Below are 26,576 nucleotides of genomic sequence, written 5' to 3' on the forward strand. Positions count from 1 at the left end.
TTTTTAAAATTATTTTTATTTTTATTTATTTATTTATTTATTTAGAGATGGAGTCCCACTATGTCACCTAGGCTGGAGGGCAGTGGTGCAGTCTCTGCTCACTGCAACCTCCGCCTCCAAGGTTCAAGTGATTCTCCAGCCTCAGCCTCCTGAGTAGATGGGACTACAGGTATGCACCACTGCATCCGGCTAATTTTTTTATTTTGAGGGGGGGGTATTTTTAGTAGAGACAGGGTTTCACCATGTTGGCCAGGCTGGTCTCAAACTCCTGACCTCAGGAGATCCGTCCGCCTCAGCCTCCCAAAGTGCTAGGATTACAGGCGTGAGCCACCACGCGCAGCCTTTTTTTTTTTTTTTTTAACTTTCATTTTAGGTTCAGGGGTACATGTGCAGATATGTTATATAGGTAAACTGTGTGTCACAGGGGTTTGGTGTACACATAATGTTGTCACCTGGGTAATAAGCATAGTACCCAATAGGTTATCTTTCCTGATCCTCTTCCTCCTCCCACCCTCCACCCACAAGTCAGCCCCAGTGTGTGTTGCTCCTCTCCTAGTATCCATGTGTTCTCCTTGTTTAGTTCCCCCTTATAAGTAAGACTAGGCAGCATTTGGTTTTCTATTTCTGCATTAGTTCACTTAGAATTATGGCCTCTAGCTCCATCCATGTTGCTGCAAAGGACATGATCTCCTTCTTAGTTATGGCTGTGTAGTATTCCATGGTGTATATGTACCACATTTTCTGTATCCAGTCTATCACTGATGTGCATTTAAGTTGATTCCATGTCTCTGCTCTTGTGAATAGTGCTGCAATGAACATACACATGCATGTGTCTTTATGGTAGAGTAATTTACATTCCTTTAGGCATATACCCAGCAATGAGATTGCTGGGTCGAATGGTAATTCTGTTTTAAGTTCTTTCAGGAATCGCTACACTGCTTTCCACAGTGGCTGAACTAATTTACACTCCCACCAGCAGTGTATAAGTGGTTCCTTTTTTTTTTTTTTTTTTGCAACCTCGCCAGAATCTGTTATTTTTTGACATTTTAATAATAGCCATTCTGACTGGTGTGAGATGGCATCTAATTTTGATTTGCATTCTCTAATGATTAGTGATATTGAACTTTTTGTCATATGCTTGTTGGCCACATATGTGTCTTCTTTTGAAAAATATCTGTTCATGTCCTTTGCCCACTTTTTAATGTGGTTTTTTTTTTCTTGTAAATTTGTTTAAGTTTCTTATAGCTTCTGGATGTTAGACTTTTGTTGGATGTGTGTCCCTGCCCAAATTTCATATTGAAATCTAATCCCCAGTGTTGGAGGTGGGACCTGGTGGGAGGTAATCAGATCATCAGAATGAATTTCTCATGAATGGTTTAGTATCATCTTGTTGGTACTGTTCTCACAATAGTGAGTGAGTTCTCATGAGATCTGGTCATTTAAAAGTGTATGGCACCTCCCACTCATGCTCCTGCTTTTGCCATATGATATGCCTACTCACCCTTCAGCTTCCACCATAATTGTAAGTTTCCTGAGGACTATCCAAAAGCCAAGCAGATGTCAGCTTCATGCTTCCTGGACAGCCTGCATAAACATGAGCTAATTAAACCTCTTTTCTCTGTAAATTATCAAGTCTCAGGTATTTCTTTATAGCAATGTGAGAACAGACTAATACAGATGCATAGTTTGCAAATATTTTCTCCCATTCTATGGGTCATCTTTTTTACTCTGTTGATAGTTTATTTTGCTAAGAAGCTCTAGTTTAATTAGAATCCATTTATCAATTTTTGTTTTTGATGTTACCGCTTTTGGGTTTTTTTGTTGAAATATTTGCCTGGTCCTATGTCTAGAATGGTATTTCTTAGGTTATGTTCCAGAGTTTTTAATAGTTCTAGGTTTTACATTTAAGTATTTAATCTATCTTGAGTTAATTTTTGTATATGGTATAAAGAAGGGGTCCAGGTTCAATCTTCTGCATATGGCTAGCCAGTTATTCCAGCACCATTTATTCATGGGGAATTTTTTCCCCATTGTTTGTTCTTGGCAAATTTGTCAAAGATCAGATGGTATGTGGCTTTATTTCTGGGCTCTCTTTTGTGTTCCATTGGTCGATGTGTCTGTTTTTGTACCACTACCATGCTGTTTTGGTTACTATAGCCCAGTAGTATAGTTTGAAGTTGGGTAATGAGATATCTCCAGCTTTATTCTTTTTGCTCAGTGTTGCCTTGGCTATTTGGGCTCTTTTTTTGGTTTTGTATAAATTTTAAAACAGTTTTTTTCTAATTCTGTGAAGAATGTCATTTGTAGTTTGATAGGAATAGCCTTGAATCTGTAAATTGCTTTGGGCAGTATGGCCATTTTAATGATATTGAGTCTTCCTATCCATGAGCATGGAATGTTTTTCCATTTGTTTGTGTTATCTTTGATTTTTTGAGCAGTGTTTTGTAATTCTCATAGAGATCCTTCACCTCCCTAGTTAGCTGTATTCCTAGATATTTTATTCTTTTTGTGGCAATTATGAAAGGGATTGCATTCCTGGTTTGGCTTTCAGCTTGGATTCAGCCCCTTTTCTACATGAATATTGGAGGGGACACAATTAAGCTCTTCATAGTCTTTCGCTTTGTCCCTTCTTTGCTGTGTTGGGATGTAACCCAGCAAAGAGTCAACAGGGGAAGGCCACCTTCCATCTGTGTCCTGTCTTTCATGCGTAGGCTCCTCTCTGTGCTCTCCCCTCCCTCCCAGGTCACATGTACCCTGACAAAAGCCTTCCCATAGCCTTAGTCATCCTATGTTTGATGGGTACCCATAGGAGAATGGTAGGCGGCAAGACCCTGAAGCCCTGATTTGGGAAATGACCTGCAGTCTTCAGTGCAGCACAGTTTTAGGAGTGGGCACCAGCTGTCAGTGCACATTCCTTCTGTTCCCTGAGCAGTTCCTTACCTCTGTCTTTGGTGTGAGGCTTCAGACTCTGTTGGATAAGCAGATGCCCATTAGGGGCAGTGCTTTGAATAGTTCATTTCAGGATGTTCAAATTGTCAGGGACATTTTATTACACACACACACAAACAACTGTAAGAGGTGGTATTTTTAAGCACTTCTTAAATGCCAGACACCATTCTCTAATTTTACATGTTTTACTCAGTTAATCTTCACAACACTATGAGGTACACAAATGAATGTGAATGAATGCAATGAAACACGCACTTTCAGTCAAATAAACCCGAGTGCTGGCCATTCTCCAGATTCATTCTTTGCCTGCTCTATGCCCAGGAGACTGACTCTGGCCTGCACTGCCCAGGCCCCCTTGCAGGAGACTGCCCATACAACAGCAGCCAATGGGAGGACGAGAGCAGAAAGTAGAGGCAGTTTCCCCTTTTCCCGTGACAGAGCCTCACTGGGCCCAGACAATAGCACTTCCTCTCTCCTTCCTTGAAACCTGGGGGTGGGAACAACTTCCCCCTATTGCTGTCATCTGGGAGCCTCCCCTTCCCTTGTCTGGGCCCTTATCCCTGCCCACAGCTCAGGAAACTTCTGTCATCAAAGGCTCTTCCTCTGCACAATTTGGGATGAACTGTTTCTTAGTGTATTCTTATCCCATACATTGAGCAACTCTCCTTTTATGTGTATATAATTTAGGAAACTTTTGTGTAAGTACAAAATGTGTGTGTACATATTTTTCTTTTCTCCCTTTTATTTATTTAAACAATGTTAAAACAATCTGTCCCTCTTAATTTTACATTTTCCTCAGGTGCTGAAATAACAACTAAAAGTTGCTTGTATCTGCATTGTGGTTTCTGTGTGTTTGCCATCAGGGGAAAACTTCTTTGAATAAAATTTACATAAATTTAAACAACAAACACTATCTTAAACATCATAACAAAGGTTTTATTTTTTTTAATTTTTAATTTAAATTGAATTTAATTATTTATATAATTTATAAATTTTATATATATTTATTAATATATTTATATATTTTTATTTCCATAGGTTATTTCCATAGGTTTTTTTTTATTTCCATAGATTATTGGGCAACAGATGGTATTTGGTTACATGAGTAAGTTCTTTAGTGGTAATTTGTGAGATTTTGGTGCGCCCATCGCCCGAGCACCCAATTTGTGGTCTTTTATCCCTCACCCCTTCCCACCCTTTCCCCCCAATTCCCCAAAGTCCATTGTGTCATTCTTACGCCTTCACATCCTCACAACTTAGCTCCCACTTATGAGTGAAACATACGATGTTTGGTTTTCCATTCCTGAGCTCCTTCACTTAGAATAATAGTCTCCAATCTCATCCAGGTCATTGTGAATACCATTAATTATTATACACAAACACACACACACATATACATATATCACAGTTTCTTTATTCACCCATTGATTTATGAGCATTTGGGTTGGGGTTCCACATTTTTGCAATTGCGAATTGTGCTGCTATACACATGCATGTGCAAGTATCTTTTTCATATAATAACTTATTTTCCTGCGGGTAGATACCCAGTGTGGGATTGCTGGATCGAATGATAGTTCTACTCTTAGTTCTTTAAGAAATCTCCACACTGTTTTCTATAGTAGTTGTACTAGTTTACATTCCCACCAGCAATGTAGAAGTGTTCCCTGTTCACCACATCCATGCCAACATCTATTATTTTTTGATATTTTGATTATGGTCATTCTTGCAGGAGTAAGGTGGTATAACATTGTGGTTTTGATTTGCATTGCCCTGACCATTAGTAATGTTGAGAATTTTTCCATATGTTTGTTGGCCATTTGTACATCTTCTTTTGAGAATTGTCTATTCATGTCCTTAGCCCACTTTTTGATGAGATTGTGTTTTTTTCTTGATAATTTGTTTGAGTTCATGGTACATTTTAGATATTAGTCCTTTGTCATATGTATAGATTATGAAGATTTTTCTCCCACTCTGTGGGTTGTCTGTTTACTCTACTGTCTGTTCCTTTTGTGTACAAAAGCTCTTTAGTTTAATTAAGTCCCAGCTGTTTATCTTTGTTTTTATTGCATTTGCTTTTGGGTTCTCGATCATGAAATCCTTGCCTAAGCCAATGTCTAGATGGGGTTTTCCAATACCATCTTCCAGAATTTTTATAGTTTCAGGTCTTAGATTTAAGTCCTTGATCCATCTTGAGCTGATTTTTGTATAAGATGAGAGATGAGGATCCAGTTTGATCCAGTTTCATTATCCTACATGCAGCTAGCCAGTTATCCCAGCACCATTTGTTAAATAAAGTGTCTTTTCCCCGCTTTATGTTTTTGTTTCCTTTGTTGAAGATTAGTTGGCTGTAAGTATTTGGGTTTATTTCTGGTTTCTCTATTCTGTTCCATTGCTCTATGTGCCTATTTTTATACCAGTATCATGCTGTTTTGGTGACTATGACCTTACACTATGTTTTGAAATCAGGTAATGTGATGCCTCCAGATTTATTCTTTTTGCTTAGTCTTGCTTTGGCTATGTGGGCTCTTTTTTGGTTCCATATTAATTTTAGGGTTTTTTTTTGTAATTCTTTGAAGAATGATGGTGGTATTTTGATGGGAATTGTGTTAAATTTGTAGATTGCTTTTGGCAGTATGGTCATTTTTCCAATATTGATTCTACTCATCCATGAGCATTAGATGTGTTTCCATTTGTTTATGTCATCTATGATTTTTTTCAGCAGTATTTTGTAGTTTCCCTTGTAGAAGTCTTTTACCTCCTTGGGTAGGTATATTCCTAAGTATTTTACTTTTTTGCAGCTATTGTAAAAGGGGTTGAGTTCTTGATTTTATTCTCACCTTGGTTACTGTTGGTGTATAGAAGACCTACTGATTTCTGTACATTAATTTTGTATCTGGAAACTTTGCTGAATGCTTTTGTCAGTTCTAGGAGCATTCTGGAGGAGTCTTTAGAGTTTTCTAGGTAAACAATCATATCATAAGCAAACAGCAACAGTTTGACTTCCTCCTTCCTCTTTACCCATTTGGATGCCCTTTATTTCTTTCTCTTGTCTAATTGCTCTGTCTAGAACTTCCAGTACTATGTTGAAGAGGAGTGAGAGTGAGCATCCTTGTCTTGTTCCAGTTCTCAGAGGGAATGCTTTCAACTTTTTCCCTTTCAGTATTATGTTAATTGTGGGTTTGTCAGAGATGGCTTTTATTACATTGAGGTATGTCCCTTGTATGCCAATTTTTCTGAGAGTTTTAATCATAAAAAGATGTTGGATTTTGTCTAATGCTTTTTCTGCATGTATTAAGATAATCATGTGATTTTTGTTTTTGATTCTGTTTATGTGATGTTCACATTTATTGACTTGCATATGTTAAACCATCCCTACATGCCTGGTATACAACCCACTTGATCATGGTGGATTTTTTTTTTTTTTTTGATATGTTGTTGGATTCGGTTCACTAGTATTTTGCTAAGGATTTTAGCATCTATGTTCATCAGGAATATTGGTCTGTAGTTTTCTTTTTTGGTTATGTCCTTTCCTGGTTTTGGTAATAGGGTGATATCAGCTTCATAGAATAATTTAGGGAGGGTTTCCTCTTTCTCTATATTGTGGAATAGTGTCAATAAGATTGGTACCAATTCTTTGAATGTCTGGTAGAATTCTGCTATGAATCCATCAGTCCTGGACTTTTTGTTTTTGGTAATTTTTAAATTACCATTTCAATTTCACTGCTTGTTATTGGTCTCTTCAAGGTATCTAATTATTCCTGATTTAAGCTAGGAAGGTTGTATCTTTCCAGGAATTTATCCATCTCCTCTAAGTTTTCTAGTTTATGTGTATAAAGGTGTTCATAGTAGCCTTGAATGATCTTTTGTATTTCTGTGGTGTCAGCTGTAATATCTCCCATTTCATTTCTAATTGGGTTTATTTGGATTTTCTCTCTTCTTTTCTTGGTTGATCTTGCTAATGGTCTATCAATTTTATTTTATCTTTTCAAAAAACCAGCTTTTTGTTTCATTTATCTTTTCTATTTTGTGTTTGTTTGTTTGTTTCAATTCTATTTAGTTCTGCTCTGGTCTTGGTTATTTCCTTTCCTCTGCTGGGTTTGGGTTTGGTTTGTTCTTATTTCCCTAGTTCCTTGAGATGTGACCAGATTGTTTGTTTGTGCTCTTTCAGACTTTTTGATGCAGGCATTTGGGGCTATGAACTTTCCTCTTAGCACTGCCTTTGCTGTATCCCAGAGGCTTTAGTAGGTTGTGTCACTATTGTCATTCAGTTAGAAGACTTTTTAAATTTCCACCTTGATTTCATTTTTGACCCAATGGTCACTCAGGAGCAGATTATTTAATTTCCATGTATTTGCATGGTTTTGAAGGTTCCTTTTGGAGTTGATTTCCAGTTTTATTCCACTGTGGTCTGAGAGAGTGATTGATATAATTTCAATTATCTTATATTTATTAAGGCCCATTTTGTGGCCTATCATATGGTCCATCTTGGAGAAGATTCCATGCGCTGTTAAATATAATATATATCCTGCAGTTGTTGGGTAGAATATTCTGTAAATAATCATTGTTTATTTGCTGACCTTCTGTCTTGGTGACCTGTCTAGTGCTGTCAGTGGAATATTGAAGTCCCCTACTATTATTGTGTTGCTGTCTATATCATTTCTTAGGTCTATTAGTAATTGTTTTATAAATTTGGGAGCTCCAGTGTTAGGTGCATATATATTTAGAACTGTGATATTTTTCTGTTGGACAAGGTCTTTTACCATTATATAATATCCCTCTTTGTCTTTTTTAACTGCTGTTGCTTTAAAGTTTGTTTTGTCTGACATAAGAATAGCTACTCCTGCTTGCCTTTGGTGCCCATTTGCATGGAATGTCTTTTTCCACCCCTTTAACTTAAGTTTATGTGAGTCCTATGTGTTAGGTGTATCTCTTGAAGGCAGCAGATGGTTGGTGAATTCTTATCCATTCTGCAATTCTGTATCTTATAAGTGGAGCATTTAGGCCATTTACATTTAACGTTAGTATTGAGATGTGTGGTACCATTCCATTCATCAGGTTGTTTGTGCATGCATAACTTGGTTTTCTGTGTATGTGTTTTTTTTAATTGTATTTTTGTTTCATAGGTCCTTTGAGATTTACGCTTTAAGAAAGTTCTGTTTTGATGTGTTTCCAAGATTTGTTTCAAGATTTAGAGCTCCTTTGAACAGTTCTTGTAGTGCTAGCTTGATAGTGGCAAATTCTCTCAGCATTTGTTTGTCTGAAAAAGACTGTATCTTTCCTTCATTTATGAAGCTTAGTTTCACTAGATACAAAATTCCTGGCTGATAATTGTTTTGTTTGAGGAGGCTGAAGATAGGGCCCCAATCCCTTCTAGCTTGTAGGGTTTCTGCTGAGAAATCTGCTGTTAATGTGATCGTTAATACAGAGTGACAACTTGATTGGGTTGAAGGATGCAAAGTTTTGATCCTGGGTGTGTCTGTGAGGGTGTTGCCAAAGGAGATTAACATTTGAGTTAGTGGGCTGGGAAAGGTAGACCCACCCTTAATCTGGATGAGTACCATCTAATCAGCTGCCAGTGCAGCTAGAATATAAAGCAGACAGAAAAACATAAAAAGCCTCCACTGGCTTAGCCTCCCAGCCTCCATCTTTCTCCTGTGCTGGATGCTTCCTGCCCTGGAACATCAGACTCCAAGTTCTTCAGCTTTGGGACTAGGACTGGCTTCCTTGCTCCTCAGCTTATAGATGGCTATTGTGGAACCTTGTGATTGTGTGAGTTAATGTTACTGAATAAATTCCCATACTCATATATATCTATATATCTATATCTATATCTATCTGTCTATCATCTATCTATCTAGCTAGCTAGCTAGCTATCTGTCTATCTATCTATCTATCTATCTATCTATCTATCTAGCTAGCTAGCTAGCTAGCTAGCTGTCTATCTATCTATCTATGTAGCTAGCTAGCTAGCTAGCTGTCTATCTATCTATCTATCTATCTATCTAGCTAGCTAGCTAGCTATCTATCTATCTATCTATCTAGCTAGCTATCTATCTAGCTATCTACCTATCTATCTATCTATCTCCTATTAGTTCTGTCCCTCTAGAGAACCCTGACTAATGCAATAGGTTACCTGGTATTTGTGCCTCACAGCTCTTAAGATTCTTTCCTTCATCTTAACTTTAGATAACATGTTGACAATGTGACTAGGTGATGATCTTTTTGTGATTAATTTCTTAGGTGTTCTTTCAGCTTCTTGTATTTGGATGTCTAGGTCTCTAGCAAGGCCAGGGAAGTTTTTCTTGATTATTCCCCCAAATATATTTTCCAAACTTTTAGATTTATATTCTTCCTCAGGAATGCCAATTATTCTTAGATTTGGTTGTTTTACATAATCCTAGACTTCTTGGAGGCGTCATTCATATTTTCTTATTCTTTTTTCTTTGTCTTTGTTGGATTGGGTAAATTTGAAAACTTTGTGTTCAAGCTCTGAAGTTCTTTCTTCTGCTTGATTCTATTGCTGAGACTTTCCAGAGCATTTTGCATTTCTATAAGTGTGTCCATTGTTTCCTGAAATTTTGATTGTTTTTTATTTATGCTATCTATTTCATTGAATATTTCTCCCTTCTCGTATCTTTTTTTTTTTCCTTGCATTGGATTTTTCTTTTGTCTGGTGCCTCCCTGATTAGCTTAATAACTAACTAATCTTTTGGATTCTTTTTCAGGTAAATCAGGGATTTCTTCTTGGTTTGGATGCATTGCTGGTGAGCTAGTGTGATTTTTTGGGGTTGTTAAAAAACCTTGTTCTGTCATATTACCAGAGATGGCTTTCTCTGGTTCCTTCTCATTTGGGTAGGCTCTGTCAGAGGGAAGGTCTGGGGCTCAAGGCTGTTGTTCAGGTTCTTTTGTCCCACGGGGTGTTTCCTTGATGTAATACTCTCCCTATTTTCCTAGGGATGTGGCTTCCTGAGGGCCAAGCTGTAGTGATTGTTATCTCTCTTCTGGATCTAGCCACCCAGCAAGTCTACCAGGCTCCGGATTGGTACTGGGGATTGTCTGCACAGAATCCTGTGATGTGAACAATCTGTGGGTCTCTCAGTCATGGATACTAGCACCTGCTCCACAGTGGAGGTAGCAGAGGGGTGAAATGGACTCTGTGAAGGTTCTTAGCTGTGATTAATCCACTATTTTGGTGCTGGTTGGCCTCCTGCTGGGAGGTGACACTTTTCAGAGATCATCAGCTGTGGTAGTATGGAGAGGAACAGGCAGTGGGCAGGGCCCTAGAACTCCCAGGAGTATATGCCTTTTGTCTTCAGTTACCAGCATGGGTAGGGAAGAACCATTAGGTGGGGGCAGGGCTAGGCATGTCTGAGCTCAGACTCTCCTTGGGCAAGGCTTGCTGTGGCTGCTGTGGGGGATGGGGGAGTGGTTCCCAGGTCAATGGAGTTATGTTCCTGGGAGGATTATGGCTGCCTCTACTGTGTCACGCAGGTTTTTAGGAAAGTGGGGGAAAGCCAACAGTCACAGGCCTCACCCAGCTCCCATGCACCCCAAAGGGCCAGTCTCACTCCCACCATGCCTCCCCGCAACAGCACTGAGTCTGTTTCCAGGCAGCGGGCGAGCAGGGCTGAGAACTTGCCCCAGGCTACCCACCTCCCAGCTGCAAAAGCAAGTGGGGCTTTCGTTCTTCCCCCACCGGTGGAGTCTGCACACTGGTTTCATGCCCTCCCCTGAATCTGGCCAGGAGACTTCTCATTCCGTTGGAATTGTTACAAAGTTCAGCTGGAGGTTTCCTTCTCCCTGTGGTCTTTTGCCAGTGCCTCTGGCAGCCCTCCTCAAGGACCCCTGTGAGGCAAGGCAGAAATGGCTTGCTAGGGGATCTAGTGAGTCCACAGAGCTTTTCCTGCTGCTTCCTCTACCCCTGTATTTCGCTTGGCTGCCTAAATTGACTCACCTCCAGGTAAGGTCAGAATCTTCTCCCATAATCTAGACCTTCAGGCTCCCCAGTGGGGGTCTGTGTTTGGGGGTGGACGATCTCCCTTTTTCACTTCCACAGTTTGGGCACTCACAGTATTTGGGGTGTCTCCTGGGTCCTGCAGGAGCAATTTGTTTTCTTCAGAGGTTCTGTGGGTTCTCTTGGCTTTCCTAATGTATTCCTGCGGTCATTGTGGAGCAAAAGTTCACAATTCAAGCCTCCACAGGCTGCTCTGTCCATCCGAGTGGGAGCTGCAATCTAGTCCTGTCTCCCGTCCACCATGATCTCCCCGATAACAAAGGTTTTAAAAATGATAAAACAGAAAACAAATTATTGCAAAATGTCAGCTCCTGTAAATAAATCTATGAATCGAGGGCTAAATTCATAAAACAAATTTTAAAAGTTTGAGTGGTGGTTTTGTTGAAGATTTTTTATTGTTGTATAAAACCAGTCGAAATTTCTTCAGGTAAATATTAAGTTACTTATGCAAATTTCTAATAACAGTTCATAGCATACAGAAAATGGCCTTTATTGCTTCAGATATCTCTGTGTTAAACTTCAATTATGGCTTCAGTAATAGTGAATCTTTCCTTTAAATTAAAACACAATATTTATACTATATAATTCTAGGGGGGGTCCAAAGACATGGAAATAAAAGTCATAAGAATTGAATGAAATAAAATTTTCCTTGAAAAACAGAAACAGAAATTATAATGCTATATCTATTTGAATAAGAGCAGCTAAATAACAGTAGCTAAACTAAAAAGAGATAAATCAAGATAACTTTAAAGAGATAGCCCAGGCTGCTGTGTCTCACTGTGACTGTGGGTGTTGAGGGCCCTGCTGCTGGGAGAGCTGAGTGAAACCTGCTGGCCCTGAATCCCTAAGCCTCACAGCACCTCACTTCTCCTTGCTGGGAACCTGATGACTCAGGGGACCCCTGGTCCTTGTGGGCCTCTGTTGGCTGTACCTGAAGCAGCAGGAGCAAAGAACCCCTAGTAAAAGGCAGGAACTTGAACTCCATGTCAGCCAGGATCTGCCTACTGCAATCATCTTCTTTTCTTAGCTCCCGGAGCTTTCTCTCAGTGGACAGAACTGCCCTCCAGCTTTCCTGAGCTCTTTCCACACAGGCAAGAATCTCCTTCTGATAGAAGGAAGTGATTCTTTCCAATTCTTTGCTGATATTTTCAGCCATCTCCTTGTAGAGGCTGTGAATCTGCTGTGTGTATTCACATTTCTACACACGCTCAGAAGTTTCTTCTTCATTTCTAACCTGTGTGTTTCCACCGCAGGTGATCTTCTCTGAAGTTGCGCTATGTGTTCTTGATGTGATTCAGGTAGGATTTGAAGCTTCAGCTGCAGGTTCTGGATCCCACCTGCAAGTTGGGAATTTTCAAACTGCAAAGACGCTTTCTCAGTTTGGAGATGTTTGATTTGTCCTGTGAGCTCTTCATTCATTGATTTTTTTTCCCACAATTGTCAAGCTATTTCTTGATTTTTCTTGACTTTCACAGAACACATTTAAGTCACCATCACCCAGGACGCTCTTCAGATGGCCTTCTGACTGATAGTTGGGCGGGAGGGGCTGGGGCAGGCAGTCTTCATTTTCTGCTTTCCTCTTTAGCTGTACTTTCGAGTCCTCGTCACTGTGGTCCCTAGAGAAATCTCCCAACTGCATGGTGTCCAGCAGGTTTTCAGCCATAGATTTTAATTGGCTCATGGTATCTTTCATGACCTGTTTTATTTGTGCATTCAAAGGTTTCCAGCTTTTCTTTCTCTCCTTCCTTTCCTGTACTGTCTGCTTCCATCTTGCAATTTCTTGGTCGAGCACTTCTGGACTTTCTGCTAAATGAGTGTTTTCATTCAAACTGTTATTTCCTTCTGAAGTTTTTCTCCATCCTTCTTTGATCCTTTTAAGATGTGTCCTGAATCAGTCACTTGAGAACATTTAGGAGACTCACTTTTCCATGCTTTTTCCAGAAAGCCGCCTGTGTCCTGCAGGGAAGACCTGCTCAGATTTGTATTAATGATTGACAAGCAGGGGGATTGTAATATTTAAGGTCTGTGGCAACTTGAGGGCTTCCTGGGTCTGTGTCTTTAGCCCAGTGTTCTGCCTGCCTTCTACATGGACCTCCTGAAGAGAACACCTTTTGTTCAGCTCTTTTCCTCTTCATAAAGTGCCTTGTTTCTTAATAATTAAGACCACACAGCAGTACAAACCAGGATCTCCCAGGGAGCCCTGGGGTTTATCTCATGATCTCAGCCTTCACCAGCTCTGTAGCCCCAGCAGCTCCAGAGCAGCTGGAGAGACATTTGGGGACCAGCAGCCCCTCTGTGGCTCTGCCTTTGCTTGCCAGTGGCCTGTGGGCCACAGCTGCCTACTCGGAACCCTGCGGAGTGTTCTGTCTCTAATGCTCACAAGTGCCTGGCAACCAGGATAGAAGATCAGTTGTGCTGGGGGAGGGGAGCCAGCCAGGTTGTAGAAACAGCATCCCTGACTTTGTTCTGCTAACTGTGCAGAGAGAGGTGATAGTCTCCGCCCAGGCCATGAGGGACCTGGAAATGGCTGATGACACGGTGGAGCTCGGCCACACCAGGCCCAGCTGGCCCCACAGCAAACCAGAGGGTCCAAGTGGGTCCATGCCCTGTCCCTTCCTGTCCACAAGGGCCTCTCAGGGGACAGTGGTGGGGCCCATCCCTGGGTGAGGCTCAGTTTCCTGATTTCAAGTTTCCTTCCGCACAGGGAAGCTGGGTCCTGCCCACCAAGGTCCCAGGGATCCTCCTCTGAGGCCCCCTCTCTCCTTTGGGTTTAGTCAACGGAGAGGGAGATGGGGAGAGGACTGAAAGGTCTCCCCAAAGGTACAAGCTGAGAGACCTGGATTTGCAATGTAAGAACCCAGGAGAAATAAGTGGAACTGACGGGGTCTAAAATGTCACGGCTATTCTGTAAAGCAGGTTTGTCCCTGTTCCATCCAAGTGTCCTGAGTGAGCGGGACTCTGCTTCGAGGGTGTCAGGTTGACCCTGGCTCTTTCCCTTGTGTGGCCCTGCTATCTTTGGTACATGCCTCCCAAGGTGGCCCTGGGGACAGTCTCCAATCCACTGAGTCATCTTCAGAAGTCTGCATGCATCTGCAGAGGGGCAGGTCCTTCTCAGCCTGGATTCCACTAAACCTCTTCCCCGGCAGAGTCAGGCTCAGAGCCTCCTCGTGCAGCCCTGGACTCTGCCGGGAGCAATTAGTCTCAGAATCTCGATCTGAGAGAGAAGCGAGCGAACTGGCAGCTGGGGCCAGTCTGGGGTCCTAAGGGTGTTGGGGTTCCAGACCCTCACAGGACATAGAGGGGCAGTGGAAGTGGCCCTCCCAGGAGAAGTCAGATCCCTTGCAGGGCCGCAGGACCCCAACTCTGCAAGGGCAACTGGTTGGTCTTTTAAAAGGATCAAAATGTGTTGAAGAAACGACAGTAATGCCTAGAACACCAACCTGGCACTAAAATGAGTGAAACAGAGTTACAACCAGGGACCCGAGGAAGATCCAGGATATTTTGCTGAGTGAAATAGGAAGATGCAAAAGCACACATGTAGAGAGGAATCCACAAAAATCTCAAAGGACACGTACTCACTCCCTCCTTTGAAAGCAGAATTTGAAGAAGCAAAGAGGAGCTGCTCCCTGAGCTTCTCGCATCTCCCTTCTCCTCCCTTCTCCCTTCTCCTCTCCCTTCCTCTCCCCTCTACTCCCCTCTCCTGGCTTCTCCTCTCCACTTCTCTCCTCTTTCCTCCTCTCTCCTCTCTTCTTCCCTTCTCTCTCTTCTCATCTCCTCCCTTCCCTTCTCGCCTCCCCTCTTCTCTCCTCTCCCCTCCTCTTTTCTCCTCTCCTCCCTTCCTCCCTCCCCTCCCCACTCCTACCTTCCTCTCCTCCTCCCTCCTTCCCTTTTTGCCTCCTTTCCCCTCGTCTCCCCTTCTCTCCCCTCCTCTCCCCTCCTTTCCCCTCCTCCTCCTTCTCTCCCCTTCTCTCCCTTCCTCCCCTCCTCTCCTCTTCCCTCCTCCCCTCTTCTTCCCTCCACTCCTCCCCTCCTCTCCCCATCCCCTCTCCCCCCTCTCCTCTTCCCTCCTCTCCCCTCCTCTCCCCTCCTCCCCTCTTCTTCCCTCCTCCCCTCCTCCCCTCCTCTCTACTCTCCCCTCTCCCCTCCTCCCCTCCTCTCTTCCCCTCTCCTCTCCCCTCCCCTCTGCCCTCCCCTCCTCTCTCCTCCTCCACTCCTCTCTCCTCTTCTTTCCTCCCCTCCTCTCCACCTCCTTCCCTCTGTCCTGTACTCTGCTCTCTCTTCTTCCATGTTGTCTTTTCTTATATGTACTTTAAATATTTTTGATTTTGTTAATACAAGTACTGTGTATGCAATTCATACCTTTTTAGCAGACAGCTCACATGGACCCAAGTTGGGGTTAACATGCAGATTGTGCAGGGGTTCCCTGCGGATGCACCCCTGTGTGCCCTGATGTGGACCTGCTCCTTCCTGCTTCCTGGGCTCCAGACAGAAACACCGTACCCCTGCACCAGCCTCTGCCTCAGCTCTTCACAGTCAGCACACCCTCCGCTTCCTGTCAGGGTGTTCTCTGCTGAGTCTGGTTATGGGATCCCTTTCTGTGCAGAGCCATGCTCCCGTGTCACTGTGTGTCACCTTCAAGCTGTCCCCGTGTGTATGCCTGTGTGAGAATATGTGTGTGTGGGTTTGCCATCGAAGGAAAACCTTTATTTTGGCTGCTAACATTTGGAAACATTTAGAGAACAAACAATATCTTTTAAAAAACATCAAAGGTTCAAAAAAACAAGACAAGAAACAAACTGTTGTAAAATTTCAACTCCTCTAAATTTGTCTTAAATTGAACTTAGAACTAATCTAATAAAAATAGTATGAAGTTTCAATGGTGTGTTGTTGTTGTCTAGTATTTTTTGGCATTGTTTTTTAAAAACCAGTCAAAATTTATTCAGCTAAATATTACATTATTTGTACAGATTTATAATAATAGCTTACAGAAGTGAACTTTATTGTTTTCCATGTTTCTATTCATGTCCAATTTTGATGACAGTTTAAATCATAGTGGACCTGTTATTTAAATCAAAATATAATACTTATGCATATAATTTTAGAGGGTCCAATGATTTTGAAATAATGTATTCATAAGAGCTATTTTAAATAAATGTATATTTAAAAATACAATTTTAGAAATTATAGTACTATAAAACTTCAGAAAGAGAAATTGCACATCAATTAAATAACAGTAGCTTAACTAGAAGATAAATGAAAATTACTTTTAAGGACGAAAACAAACAAATCATAAACTCTGAGTGAAACCTGCAGGTACCCCTGGATCCCTGAGCCTCACAGCACCTGCCTCTTCCTTGCTGGGAACCTGATGACCCAGGGGGCCCCTAGTACTTCCACTCCTCTGTGAGCTGCGCCTGGAGCAGCAGGAGCAAAGGGGCTGCTTGGGAAAGGCTGGAACTTGAACTCCACATCAGCCATGATTTGCCTGTTGCCATCATTTTGTTGTTTTAGCTCATGGAGCTTTATCTCAGTCAGCAGAACTGCTGCCCAGCTTTCTTGAGCTCTTCCTCATAGAAGAGAATCTCCTTTTGGTAAAAGGAAGTGATTCTTTCCAATTCATTGTTCATGTCTTCTGCCATCTTCTTGTAGAAGTTGAAAATCTGCTGTGTGTAGTTCGTATTTCTGCACATGATGGGAAATTTCTTCTAGATTTCTAAGCATAGAGGAACATAGTAATTTAACAGGGAGATACAGAGTGAACACCCTTTTAATCAAATGATAAAATGATAAAAGTTAACATAAAAATATTAGGACAAGCTGACATCATGTACCTCCTGATATGATGCACTGAAAAGAACACAACATTATTTCTATGATTTTCTGCCAATAATGCATAACCTGAATCTAACCATGAAGAAATAGCTGAGAACCCCAAGTTGAAGGGCATACCACAAGGTAACAGCCCATATTCTTCAAAACTATAAAGGTCAATAAAACGTAGAAAAGGCTGAATAATTATTTTGGAATTAAGGAGACCCAGGGGATGGGAGAGCCAAATGCAATACATGATGCTGGATTCTACCCTGGACCAGAAGAAAACTAGTTACAGATGAAATTATTTGGAAGACTCACAAAATTTAAATATGGACAATGGATTAGGTAAGGATTGTGTCACTGTTAAATTCCAGTTTTGATCATTGCATTCTGGTCAGGAAATGTCAAAATTTAGTGTCAGTGGGTTTAATAACTTCAACTTATTTCAAAACAAAGAGTTGCTAAAATTCTTCAACCATGATCCCTTCCTGACATTGTGGTCAAGCTATGTATGGCTCATGGTAGGTCTCTTCTCATTTTCTGGTGGGGTACTTAATGTGAAAACACAGCAGGTAAAACCATCATAAAACATCTTCAAGTTCTAACTTCCTTGAGTCTACCTATGTCTGAGAGTGTCCTCCAGGACATTTCAGGGAATATGGAGAACGTATTACTTGTGGATGTCCTTCTCCAATCAAGTCCTTCAATCCTTCTGTTCCTCCTGCAGTCTTCTTTCTGGCCAGTATGATGCCTGAACACACTCTGAGTCTAAAGAGCTTCTGGCACCTATGTTCTCTGCTGGCTTCCGTGAAAAGCTCTCTCTTTAAATAGCCATAAACCTGGTAGCTTAAGACAACTGAAATTTATTATTTTATAGTCCTCTAGACCTAAAGTCCCAAATCAAGGTGCCGGCCGGGCCATACTCCCTCTGAAGTCTCTAGGAAAAGGTTTTTCTTTGCTCCTTCCAGCTTCTGGTTGCTGTGAGCAATCCTGTCATTCCTTGGCTTGTGGCTGCACCCCTCCATTCTCTGTCTCCATCTTCCCATGGCCTTCTCTGTGTGCTTCTCTGTGTTCTCTAATCTATGGATACCAATCATGAATTTAGGGCCAATCGCAATACAGTACCCTCTCATCTTCATCCTTAACTAATTGCATCTGCAAAGACCTATTTCCAAATAAGGTCATATTCTGAGATTCCAGATGAACATGAACTTTTGGGGGCCATTATCCAACCCACTACACCAGTCTTCACTGCCTCAATCAATTTCCATGGAGTTTCTCTGGATTATTTGAAAACCCCTAGCTTGGTTTTATTTCTCCTGGATTCCAAATTTTCCCTTTGAATAGGGCTCCTTCTCTCCACCCACAACTTAGAATTCTCTTCTCTCTGTCTCCTGTTCAACTTCCTTTTTCTTTATTCTGTATCTCACAGAGACAGGCGGTATCCTTCCATACCCTTCCTTGGCTCCCAGGACCCACACCTGTTAAACATATGATGTGTCTCATATGTGGATTCTACCCAAGATCCTACAGAGGAAAGATTTGCTGGGACTGAGGTACGGTCCTAAAGAGTAAGTCAAGATCCTGCTCACAGACTCTCCAATTCTCATGGAGGACTGTGGCTTGTCAAGTAACTCAGAACCACTGAATTTTTCTGTTCAACCCTATTCTAGTTATTTTGGCTCTAAGATAAAGAAAAATTAATTACTTGCATATTTGATCAACTGAAAAAATCCAGGCTGTATGTTTTGAGTCCTGATCAATTAGGACCACTTGCCTAAAGGAAACAATTTAATGATTTCCTTCACTTTAAAGTTGTGAAGAAATTCTGGCTGCCTTTCTCATTGCATCTTTATGAAGGCCAGACTTTATGAAAAAATAGTGATGATAGCAATAAGTCTGGAACTTGGTAATCGACAAAGCTCTGCTTTCGTGCTAAGTCTCAGGAGAGCTTTTCAGTACTCTATGAAGTATGGATTGGGCAGATCATCCTGCCAGCATTACAGACAGACGAGGAGACAATCATACTGCTTTTGTTCTTGGACTGGCTCATAGTTTGGGCACAGGCATGATTAATTTGTTCATACCATTGTAAGACTCTTATCTCTAAAAGCACAAAGAGAACACATCAGAAGTAGATCTTTACATGGAACAAAACCAACTAACCATTTTGCCCAAGGAGCGACTTTCTCATCTGTTTTTTTTCTCATCTGTTTTTTTCTCAGTTTCCTTCTATTTCTATTTAAAAGGCAAGTTAAAAAAAAAAACAATAAGATAGCATAGTAGTGGAAAATAGCTCAGCCCTTACAGCAAGACATCCTAGGCTGAATTCCATTTCTGCCACCTACTAACCTGATGAACTTGGGTAATTTCCTTAACCTCTCTGAGCCTCTGTTTATTCACCTGTGATATTGTTTGGCTCTGTGTCCCCACCCAAATCTCATCTTAAATTATAATCCCCACATGTCCAGGGAGGGACCTGGTGGGACATGATTGGATCATGGAGGCAGATTTCCCCTTTGCTGTTCTCATGATAGTGAGTGTGTTCTCATGAGATCTGATAGTTTTAAAAGTGCGGCACTTCCTTGCTCTCTCATTCTCTCTCTCTCCTGCTGCATTGTGAGATGTGCCTTGCTTCCCCTTTGCTTTCTGCCATGATTGTAATTTTCCTGAGGCCTCCCCAGCCATGTGGAACTGTGAGTCAATTAAACTTCTTTTCTTTATAAATTACCCAGTCTCAGGTAGTATTTTCATATCAGTATAAGAATGCACTAATACAACCTGTAGTGTGAACCTCAAAGTCAAGTTGAGAGGATTGAAGAAATGATGTAGATTATGTACCCTGTGTGACGCCTCTCATGTTATTCAGTGGTAGTTGGCTCCCTCTCCACACCTTCTTGGGAGATTCTAATTTTGTCGAAGGATCAGTCCTAGATCGCAGTGGCAGTGCTGACATTGCTGTAAACTTCAGGCCAATGTGGCAGCATACCATCTAGCCATATTGCAATGGAGAGGTCATGCAGGGGTACTGTATGAATCAGTGCCCAGAGATAAAGGGGTGGTCTGTCCTCTGCTGCAAAGTAGGACAATGCTTGGTCTCCAGCTCTTCACCTCCTGGAAACTCACCCCCGTTTTGTGCTTGAATTCATGCTCTCTGAACAAGAGAAACTCATGTCATCTCTCTCATCCTGTAAAGCACTGCTGAGAACAATCATGCTAAAATAATTTAGAGAGAGAAAATGTTAAGCAAAGACTGTCAAAACAATACTCAAGAATACCAATAAGGAAGGCTGTTTTCAGTTAGCAAAATCTCCAACTAGGGGAGATTAAACAGCTCTTACAAAAGTGCGCGTTATACAACTATTTCATCACACGTTGAGAGCCAGCATCTCAGGATCCAGCCGTGAACCAACATCTGAAATACCTTTTCCCGTAATCCCCTTCATCCAAGAATAAACACTTTTAATGAAAGTCCCAAGAGGAAGTAAAAAAGAATTTGTTTTTCCAGTTTCTTTTAACAATCTTTCCTAAAATAGGGGGCTATTCTTGTTTGCACCTTCCTTATAACAGTTCAGTCAAATGTGGCCACTGCTACAGCTTCTAGCAAGTTCCCTGGGTGCAGAGAATTGGGAACTGGCACCTGCAAGACAAGCAGGCACCAGGATTTTGGGGGATTTTAATTTACTAACTACTCTTTATCCTTTTGGTGAGCTTGCATTTCAAACCTTGCCAAGAGACACATCTCCTTGAATTCTGCTGTCCTGTCTCAATGTGAAAGGCTTAAGAAGGATCATTTTGTTATTTCAAAACACTAGAGCAAATACTTCCAAGACTGTCTTGAAAAGTTCTTTGGAATTAACATCAAGCACTTACTATATAATGAAAGAGTCATGCATATACGATTGTTCTTTTAGCTGAGGAGTGTTTGGTAGTAATAATGGGAACAGAATTTGAGAGCCAGATTCTAAGCAGGAATGTAATAACAGACTTGAAGATAAAAAAAATATGGCTTTCCCTTAGCAGGAGGAGTTGTTGAAACCTGAAAAGCTCTGTTTATGGTTTTACCAGGAGCTTCTAACATCATGTAGAAAATGGATGTACAAATGTAATTAAACACAGTAACATGAAACTGCATGGAAAATTTGGCAGGGAATCATATTTTTTTCCTGATTATATAAGTAATACACATGTTCTTTGTGGAAAATATGGACATAAAAATATGGCATGTAGAAGAAAATTAAAATTATACAATTATACCACAAAATCATTTTCTGATGTATATATATTATTTTTCTAAAAAATTGTATTTATGCCCTATTCATATTTGTCCTGTTGCTTTTTGCTTTATGCTTAATTTAATCATATCTTTATATTGTAGTATGTGAACGGCTATCTCCCTAGGACACGTATTGCAAACATTGTTTTTCTTTAAGATCTAGAGTTTTATCTGAAACATTTATTTGAATCTTGCAATCCACTCCAAAACATACCCACATTTGTTTTACTATCAAATATGTAGCATATAAATATAAAATGTAAACTGCATTGTAGATAAGTAAATATTATGTACATATAGACATAAAATATAAACTACAAAATTATAATATATAAAGCATATCAAAATAATATTAATGAAATGTATGAAGCTGTACATAAATGAAAGATGCTATGTCCTCTTTAAAATTTTAATTTCATACCATTTAAACATATCTGCTTACCACATGCGTAAGAATTTCTTTGCCCAACTTGAAATAGCAACCTTAAAATATTCTATGTCACTGGAAAAAACTTGATGGCAATTTTTTATATACAACCCCACATGCACACACACCCACACGCAGAAGAACAACATCCATTTAGGGACTCCTTGGACAAAATTTCAAGTCTTGAAGAAGTAGGTTTACTCAAGCAAAACTAACCTCCTTTCCAAGTCTGGAATAGGTATGAGATGTCCTTTCACTAGATATAAATTTATCAATGTACAGAAAAACAAAATCGATGGGTCTCAATTTTTCACTGTAAAATTTCCTTCCTTAAATTTCATACAGTTTGGGCACCTGTTGTTCCTTGTTGGCCTGTAAGAAAATGAGTCACCATGTGCAAAAGATGAGCCATAGATCTGTTCAGAAATAGTCACTCATGTTTGACATGACAGCTTGTTTTCCATATATTCTCTTGGTTGTTATTTTACATTGCATACATATAATAATAAAGTCATATTTTCTCCCAGCATGGCTTTCTAAGTGGAGTTAAATATATCAATATTTTATATCATACTTCACAGAGTGTCATGGCTTCCCATTTTGCCACCTGATCCAGACTGACAGTCACCGCTGTAGGGGACCATACCATATACTTAGGCATGATAAAGGCCCATAGGTTGAAAGACAGAGAAGCATCCCTGACCCAGTAACTTACCATTTACTGGAGGAACGAGCCCAGCCTAGGCTGAAGAGCTAGTTGAGGAGGTGTCTCCACCACCCAACTCAACGAAGTCTAACATTTCACAGCTAGATCATCATTCCTTTGGCTTTAACCTGCAGAAATTGTATTGCTTCCCAAAATGCATATATAAGAGAGGTAAAGCCATACAATTTAATCAGTCATCTGCAATCGTGTTTCTCCAAAAGGGGTGGCCAGGCTGTCTGCATCAGTATCCTGGGGTAGGGAGGAGGAGGGTGGATGATTGATTGGAGATTTCTGAGTCCCATCATGAGAGATTCTTATTCTGTAGATCTGTGGAGGCCTCTGGGAGTCTTCATTTTAGCAAACATTCCAGGAAATTCCTGTGAACATTAGAATTTGAGAACCAATCATTTATACTCTGAAGTGAATGTACTTACGAATCCTTCCTTGAGAACAGAGGAGTTGCTTACTAATCTCTGGGGCGAATTCAGTGACCATCACTAACAGACAGAAAGAGGAATCTGGACAAAGCACAGGACAAACCTCACTTTTTCTGGAGTGGTCATCTATTAAGTGCTTTCTTGGAGAGGGTATAGTAATTGTATATTTCATATAAATACACTGTAGAAAGAGAAAAACAAATATTTAGATATTTGTGTCCCCTTCTGATTATCTACGAAGGGATTTACATGGCACAAATTAAATCTATCCACTCACCCTGAAGTTCTGTCCTTCCTTCAAGCAGGAGCCCCAGCAGAGTGGCCCAGGGCCAGCTGTTTTTAAGCAGCCTCTGAGAGCAACACAGCAGGTCCCACCCAGGAGACCACAGAGCTATGGTGGGGGAAGCCACTTGCCTCCTGTATGAGTTCCCTGGGGTTGCTGTGACAAAGGACACTGAGAGAGTGTCTCAGATAATGGACATTCATTGTCACACAGTTCTGAGGCTGGAAGTCCAAGATCAAGGTGCTAGCAGGGTTGGTTCCTTCTGACAGCAATGAAGAAGAATCTGTTCCTGGCCTCTTTTCTGAGGCTGGAAGTCCAAGATCAAGGTGCTAGCAGGGTTGGTTCCTTCTGACAGCAATGAAGAAGAATCTGTTCCTGGCCTCTTTTCTGAGGCTGGAAGTCCAAGATCAAGGTGCTAGCAGGGTTGGTTCCTTCTGACAGCAATGAAGAAGAATCTGTTCCTGGCCTCTTTTCTGGCTTCTGGTAGCCTTGGGCATTCCTTGGCTTGAAGGTGGTCATCTTCTTCCTATGTCTTGAAATCATCTTCCCTCCATGTGTCTGGCTCTGTGTCCAAATTTCCTCTTTTTGTAAGGATAGTGGTAATATTGGATTAGATCCCACCCTAATGGTCTTATCTTAAATTGATCATTTGCAAAGACTATTTCCAAACAAGATCTTATTCACAGGTACTGGAGATTAGGGCTTCAACATCTTTTGGGGGTCACGATTCAGCCCATCATGCCCCCTCTTCTCAGGTCTGTCTGAGGCTTGCTGCTCTGTCCCTTAGTGGCTGGGGACAGCATGCTTGCCTATGGCCATGCCTGTAGCTCCACTTTGCTCTGAGAGGCTGAGCAATGCCTCTCATCAGTCTTCCCACAGCCCCTTGAGTGGCCCAGCACCTACTCAGTGACCCATAGGGATCCGGTAGAAGGAGCAAATCACAGCAAGGCCATAAAGAATTTAAAGCTTAACCCAGATGCTGAGCTGGGATGCAAAGCAACAAGCTAGAAAATTGACAGGCAGGCCCCAAATGGTCTTGCAGAGTCTAATGTCATCAGGTTTCTCTGTGATGTGGCTTTTATTAAACACTTCTTAATAATTTGTGTTATTACTTCTGAGCTTAGAAATGAATTATACTCATTCTCTGGAAATATTTTTAGACTTTGCCTCTAGGTCATGACCAATAAAAGGTTTAAATTCAAATACTGAATGATCCAAGGGCTCACTTCCTATAGAAATATCTTCATCTATGAGAATGATAATAGTGATAACAGCAAATATCCATGGGGTGCCATAATTTATAAAAATTATGTGTTTTTACAAGAATTATTTACTTGTCACCTCAGAGGAAACTCAAAAGGAATATGACTATTAGCCCTCAGCGGAAGCTGAAATGTATCACCTATCGTAAGGTATCTAGTCTATTTCCCATGATGTTTACTTTTTGTGTCCGAGAATGTTGCATACTCTCATTCAAAGTCTTTCCCAGAAAGGACCAGTTGATAAAGCCACTGGCTCTTTCCAGCATCACGCCTGTACTGATGCCACAGTGGACAGCCTTTGATGCCACAGGACCACAGCTCAATCTCCTGATTGTGAGGAGAAGAGTGGGGGTGTTCTCACTGCCCCAGGGCATTACTAAAACAGGTTTGATCAGCAAGACATTAAACAACAGAGATTAGGCTTAGGAATCTAATATGCCACTATGTGCTTACTGTTGTCCAAATATTAGGAAACACAATCCCAGATCAGTGGGTTAGATTTGTGTTCAAGGGGACAAGTTGGAATGTGATGCCCTCACTTCAGGTGAGCTCTCTTTACTTGAAACACTCTTAGGTTTACTGGAAGGACTCATTCTCGGGAAGTCACGCTCTTTTTTACTTAACGTCTTTCATCATGTTAAACATTTATTTTATATTCTCTTTCAGATTGGCTTCTTATTAACCCAGATTACTGAGGTTCTAATTCTATTTATTTTGTTCCCGCTGACCCTTAAGTGGAGTATATTGTGTCCTGGTATATTTTTATATACCAGGTTTTATATTTGCTTCTGCTAAGATTCCAAAGAGGCATGTTTGTCTGGGAAAATCTGCAAGCTAATTTCTTAGCTAGGGAATTCCTGAACAAAGAAGGAAGTGAAAATCTGAGCCCCAACTTTGTGTTTGGAAAAGGGCTGCACTAATGGATTAGGAGATTCCTACCTTCACACCTAAACCAGGCAGAAAGGGATAGACTTCCCTGTTGCAATCCTGTGCTAATATGCAGGTAATTTTCTGGTCTTACCTTCAGAGTTCTGTCCTAATGGAGGAAATCTCACTTCCCACTCTTGCTTTGTATGGTTCCGAGACCTCAACTTCTGTCCATGTATGGACATTGAAAATTTAGGTTTCTGGCTGGCATGTTGGCTCCATGCTTCGGGAGGTAATCCCACTACTTTGAGAGGACAAGGAAGGAGGATTGCTTGAGGCCAGGAGTTTGAGACCAGCTGGGCAACAAAGAAAGACCCCATTGCTACAAAAAATTTAAAGAAATTAGCTGAGCACAGTGGCATATGCCTGTAGTCTCAGCTACTCTGGAGGCCGAGGCAGGAGTATTTATTGAGCTCAGGAGTTTGAGGCTGCAATGAGCTATGATTCAGCCTGGGAAACAGGGAGAGACCCTGTCTCTATAAAAAAAGAAATAAAAATTAGTCTTATATGTTTCCAAAGCCAAAATCCACTCCATTCCCACCTGCAAGCATTAGGTCACATGTTTCTGGCACCTCGATTGAAAGCATTTTTTTTTAATGCTATACAGCCTTTCTAAACATTTGCAGCATGAACATTTTCAGGTTATCCAGATTGTTGTCACACTGACCACATACTCTGACATTTCCACATCAGCATTTATAACCTCACCTGGGCTGTTTTTTTTTTTTTTTTTTTTTTTTTTTTTTTTTTTTTTTTTTTTTTTTTTTTTGAGACGGAGTCTCGCTCTGTCGCCCAGGCTGGAGTGCAGTGGCGGGATCTCGGCTCACTGCAAGCTCCGCCTCCCGGGTTCACGCCATTCTCCTGCCTCAGCCTCCCAAGTAGCTGGGACTACAGGCGCCCGCCACTACGCCCGGCTAATTTTTTTTGTATTTTTAGTAGAGACGGGGTTTCACCGTTTTAGCCGGGATGGTCTCGATCTCCTGACCTCGTGATCCGCCCGCCTCGGCCTCCCAAAGTGCTGGGATTACAGGCGTGAGCCACCGCGCCCGGCCACCTGGGCTGTTTTTGAAGCTGAACTCAAGAATATTTCCTTAGATTCAGCATAAAGAATTGGAGAGCCAAAATATGAAATATATCCTCTTCTAAGAAATACTCCTAAAAGTAAAGTTAACACCTCAGGTGGCCCTCTTGGTGTTCTAAATGATGAATGGCATATCTGTATTTCTTCAATTAGTCCACCAATACCAAGGCCTCCGTTTTCTAGGAGGACTTGGGCACAGAACCATGGTACTGCGGCTTACAGCAGCAAGTGCAGTCCCATTAACAACCAGCAGATGGCGTAAGTATAACCATCCCCGAGGGAAGGGCCCAGCGCTCCTGAGATAGGAAAGGAGGAAGTCGTTTATTATTTAAAGGAGAGTTTGAGGACGGACTTGAGCTGTGTGAAATTTGAGATATTCAGGGAAGCTGATATGTGTTAA

The 26,576-nt window shown here is 41.3% G+C and overlaps 1 long non-coding RNA gene and 1 pseudogene across 1 annotated transcript; one reads left to right on the forward strand and one right to left on the reverse strand.

The window, feature by feature from the left end:
• Positions 11,740 to 12,802, reverse strand: LOC100288590 (cutaneous T cell lymphoma-associated antigen 1 pseudogene; annotated as a pseudogene).
• On the forward strand, positions 13,352 to 15,840 carry DSCR10 (Down syndrome critical region 10). Its single transcript, NR_027695.1, has 3 exons — positions 13,352 to 13,556; positions 13,668 to 13,812; positions 15,331 to 15,840. It is a non-coding gene; the product is annotated as a Down syndrome critical region 10 (long non-coding RNA).
• The last annotated feature ends 10,736 nt before the right edge of the window (positions 15,841 to 26,576 follow it).

The sequence above is a fragment of the Homo sapiens genome, chromosome 21 (genome assembly GCF_000001405.40).
Source record: "Homo sapiens chromosome 21, GRCh38.p14 Primary Assembly".
In the NCBI taxonomy this organism is placed as follows: Eukaryota; Metazoa; Chordata; class Mammalia; order Primates; family Hominidae; genus Homo; species Homo sapiens.